The 5,274-nt window shown below is 44.2% G+C and overlaps 1 pseudogene; it reads left to right on the forward strand.

The window, feature by feature from the left end:
- PPIAP26 (peptidylprolyl isomerase A pseudogene 26) lies at positions 2,899-3,966 on the forward strand (annotated as a pseudogene).

The following is a 5,274-nucleotide window of genomic DNA, read 5'->3' on the forward strand; positions in this document are numbered from 1 at the left end:
AACCTCCCTGCCTGATTCTCCTGCCTCAGCCTGCCCAGTGCCTGGGATTGCAGGCGCCCGCCGCCATGCCTGACTGGTTTTTGTATTTTTTGGTGGAGACGGGGTTTCGCCGTGTTGGCCGGGCTGGTCTCCAGCTTGTGACCACAAGTGATCTTCCAGCCTCTGCCTCCCAAGGTGCCGGGATTGCAGACGGAGTCTCGCTCACTCAGTGCTCAATGTTACCCAGGCTGGAATGCAGTGGCGTGATCTCGGCTCGCTACAACCTCCACCTCCCAGCCGCCTGCCTTGGCCTCCCACAGTGCCGAGATTGCAGCCTCTGCCCAGCCGTCACCCCGTCTAGGAAGTGAGGAGCGTCTCTGCCTGGCTGCCGATCGTCTGGGATGTGAGGAGCCCCTCTGCCCCGCCGCCCAGTCTGGGAAGTGAGGAGCGCCTCTTCCCGGCCTTCATACCGTCTAGGAAGTGAGGAGCGTCTCTGCCCGGCCGCCCATCATCTGGGATGTGGGGAGCGCCTCTGCCCCGCCACCCCATCTGAGATGTGAAGAGCGCCTCTGCCCAGCCGCGGCCCCGTCTGGGAACTGAGGAGTGTCTCTGCCCCACCGCCACCCCGTCTGGGAGATGAGGAGCGTCTCTGACCGGCCACCCCGTCTGGGAAGTAAGGAGCCCCTCTGCCCGGCAGCCGCCTCGTCTGGGAGGTGGGGGGCGCCTCTGCCCAGCTGCCCCGTCTGGGAAGTGAGGAGCCCCTCTGCCCGGCCGCCACCCCGTCTGGGAGGTGTACCCAACAGCTCATTGAGAACGGGCCATGATGATGATGGTGGTTTTGTCGAATAGAAAAGGGGGAAATGTGGGGAAAAGAAAGAGAGATCAGATTGTTACTGTGTCTGTGCAGAAAAAAGTAGACATAGGAGACTCCATTTTGTTCTGTACTAAGAAAAATTCTTCTGCCTTGGGATGCTGTTAATCTATAACCTTACCCCCAACCCCGTGCTCTCTGAAACATGTGCTGTGTCCACTAAGGGTTAAATGGATTAAGGGCGGTGCAAGATATGCTTTGTTAAACAGATGCTTGAAGGCAGCATACTCGTTAAGAGTCATCACCACTCCCTAATCTCAAGTACCCAGGGACACAAACACTGCGGAAGGCAGCAGGGCCCTCTGCCTAGGAAAACCAGAGACCTTTGTTCACATGTTTATCTGCTGACCTTCCCTCCACTATTGTCCTGTGACCCTGCCAAATCCCCCTCTCCGAGAAACACCCAAGAATGATCAATAAATACTAAAAGAATTAAAAAAAAAATGAGCCATTGAAAGCTAATGGAACTAATATAAAAAGATCCACACCAGAAAATACCGGTGAAAAGAAAATTTGAAATGTTTCCAGAGAGCAAAAGAAATTCCATTTACTATAGTGGACAATAGTAGTTACAGTTTTAGCTTTCTTGTTTGCTTTTTTCTCTCCTTTCTTCCAGTAAGAATGTCTGTCCTGCCATCCTCCCTCCCTTCCTCCCTTCTCCTTCTTTTCTTTCTTTTCTCTCTATATGTCATTCAGATGGGGCTATGAATTTCAGGACCACCCCAACCCAGGCCACAGGGAGAAGCCCAGAACCCACACATGACTAATCAGAGAATCCCACTTTCTGGCTACAGTGATTAGCTCAGAATGGGCATGGCACCAAAAAGGGCTCACTCCAAGCCCTCCCCAGGATTTTCATGTGTTAATGGGGAAGTTGGTCTCTTTCCTTTGGGGTTATGTGGCCACAGGGATGTTGGCTACAGCTGCATGTAGTTGTCTTTCTTGCAGAGGAAGCTTGTTGCAGTAGTACAGAATGAGCCAAACATACAGAAAGAAATAACAAACAGAGTCACAAGACATGGAAGAAAACCCCAATGGCACCATTTGAACTACTCAGCCATACTTGAGGCCAGCTCCACCTCTGGACTTTCCAGGGATAAGTCACCAAATTCCATACTTTGCTGAAGGCAGTTGAGTTGTTCCTGTAGTATGCACCTGCAAAGAAATGAAAATCAGATTGGCATCAAGACTTCTCATCAGCCACACGGAACACAAGAAGATAACACAGAGAATTCTTCTAAGTTCTATGTGAACTTTGAACCTAGAATATAATTTTGAACTTAGAATTCTATATCCATTCACTATTATTCTAGTGCGAGGGCAAAATAAAGAGATATTTAGAATGTGTAATGACTCAGAAAGTGTTCCATTCACAGAAGTTTTCTGAAAGAATTTCTTGGGAATGAATTGTAGCAACAAGAAAAAATGGATTCAAGATGTAAGACTATGGAATATGCAAAATAATGTTGAGCAAAGTCATCAGCAAAAGTTGTGATTAATCTAAACAAACATGATGCATAGTACAAATTTAGTTCCACAGTAGTCTGGAACTAAACTTCTGAATTACTATGTCATCAGAGAGAATGGTGGGACGGAAACGCTGTTAGTGTCTAAGAGTTTCATATCATTAGGGAGAAGCTACAGATAGTAAATCTAGGCCTGAATAGCAAATTTAAATTTTATTCATTTGTCAAAAATTTGTCAAAACGACAACTACTAAAAAAATAGAAATAGGATGTGTAATTTCCAAACCAATAAAGGGGGAAAAATCCCAATCCAATAAAAAGGGCAAATGAGGGGAAAAAATAAATAACAAAACACATGGAAAGAGAAAGCATAAAACAAGCTGTCAGGAATAAATCCAGACACAACAGGGATCATAGTAAGGGGTGAGTATGTCAAATGCTGGAGTGTGAGCATTATGAAGGCAGGGATTGTAATTGTTTGTTCACTGCTGAGTCCTTCAATTAATATTTGTTGAATGAATGAATGGATAGATGTTCTAAGATTTGATTTTCAACAATCCTGTTTAATAAACAGATCTTGGCTTTGCAGATGCTGCCAGGAACCCCATACTATCAGCCATGGTCAACCCCACCGTGTTCTTCAACATGGCTGTCAATGATGAGCCCTTGTGCCACGTCTCCTTTGAGCTGTATGCAGACAAGTTTCCAAAGACAGCAGAAAACTTTCGTGCTCTGAGCACTGGAGAGAAAGGATTTGGTTACAAGGGTTTCTGCTTTTACAGAATTATTCCAGGGTTTATGTGGTTTATGTGTCAGGGCAGTGACTTCACACACCATAATGGCACTGGTGGCAAGTCCATCTATGGAGAGAAATTTGATGACGAGAACTTCATCCTGAAGCATACAGGTCCTGAACCCTCACATTCCCAAACCAATTACTTATCCATGGCAAATGCTGGACCCAACACAAATGGTTCCCAGTTTTTCCTCTGCACTGCCAAGACTGAGTGGTTGGATGGCACACATGTGGTCTTTGGCAAGGTGAAAGAAGGCATCAATATTGTGGAGGCCATGGAGCGCTTTGGATCTAGGAATGGCAAGACCAGCAAGATCACCATTGTTGACTGTGGACAACTCTAATGAATTTAACTTGTGTTTTTTCTTTTTAAGATGGAGTTTCACTCTTGTTTCCCAGGCTAGCGTACAATGGTGTCATCTCTGCTCACTGCAAGCTCCGCCTCCGGGTTCAAGTGATTCTCCTGCCTCAGCCTCCGGAATAGCTGGGATTATAGGCACGCGCCAGCACGCCTGGCTAATTTTGTAATTTTAGTAGAGATGGGGTTTCATCATTTTGGCCAGGCTGGTCTCAAACTCCTAACCTCAGGTGATCCACCCGCCTCAGCCACCCAAAGTGCTGGGATTAAAGGAATGAGCCACCATGCCTGGCCAACTTGTGTTTTTTCTTAACCACCACGCCATTCCTTCTGTAGCTCAGGAGAGCACCCCTCCACCCCATTTGCTTGTAGTATCCTAGAATCTTTGTGCTCTCGCTGCAGTTCCCTTTGGGTTCCATGTTTTCCTTATTCCTTTCCACGTCTAGCTGGATTGCAGAGTTAAGTTTATGGTTATGAAATAAAAAGTAAATAACAACAACAACAACAACAAAAAAAAAACCAGATTTTTTTTTTTTTTTTTTTGAGACAGAGTCTCACTCCACCCAGGCTGGAGTGCAGTGGCATAATCTCAGATCACTGCAACCTCTGCACCTCTGCCTCCTGGGTTCAAGCGATTCTTCTGCCTCAGCCTCCCGAGTAGCTGGGACTACAGGCATGTGCCACCATGCCTGGCTAATTTCTGTATTTTTAGTAGAGATAGGGTTTAGCCGTGTTGGCCAGGCTGGTCTCAAACTCCTGATCTCAGGTGATTCACCCACCTCGGACTCCCAAAGTTCTGGGATTACAGGTGTAAGCCACCATGCCTGGCCTAAAAAACAGATCTAAATCAAATAAACAACCCACACATACCGCATGCACACACATTAAGGTTGGAAATAAAGAGATGGGAAAATATTTCCCAGGAAAAGTTTGACTAAAAGAGCAAGTATGGTCATTTTGGTATCAGATGAAACAATGTCAAGGTCAAATGCATTAAACCAAATCAAGAACAATATTTTATATAACCTGGCTAGGAAGTGCAAGCAAATCAACTGACAAATAGTTGGATCCTATAAGATAGGTCAGTAAGATGGCTAGGCACAAAATTAATCTCCACAAATTAATAGCTTCTCTATATACTAGAAATAACTAAGAAAACAAGAGGGATAAAAGATTCAAATCATATTCACAACAATAAAATGCACAAAACACCAAGAATACTGATATGATAACCCTAACAAGAAATGGGCAAGAGCAATAATGAAAAAAACTATAAAATGATGATGACAACATTATTATAAAAACCAAGAATTGAACCCTGAAAACAGAGACACACCCAAAATGGAATTACTCAACATTGTAAAGATGACAGTGCTCCCCAAGGCAGTCTTTGGAGTCACTGCCATCCAAATAAAATCCCCAGAATTTGGTAAACATATACTAAAATTAATCTGGGGGAGAAAAAGCATAAGAATAACTGGGAAACATTTTGATAAGTAGTGGAGGAGAGGCTTGCCCTACCAGATATCAAAATATGGTCCTCAAGTTTAAGAATTAAACTTGTGCAAAAAGTGACAGATTAGTAATACAGAATAGAGGATCCAGAAACACAAATCAATTTATGGCACTTTAGTTTTTGATGAAAATGGCATTTCAGGTAGTGGGAGGTGATGTTCAGAACAATGTTGGGAAAAGTACCTATTCATTTTGAAAAATAAAGTTGGAATTTAACCTTGTGCCAACACAAAAATAAATGGGTGAGGTATTAAAAAGCTAATCATAAAACCTAAACTTTAAAATATTG

Source organism: Homo sapiens, chromosome 13, assembly GCF_000001405.40.
Source record: "Homo sapiens chromosome 13, GRCh38.p14 Primary Assembly".
In the NCBI taxonomy this organism is placed as follows: domain Eukaryota; kingdom Metazoa; phylum Chordata; class Mammalia; order Primates; family Hominidae; genus Homo; species Homo sapiens.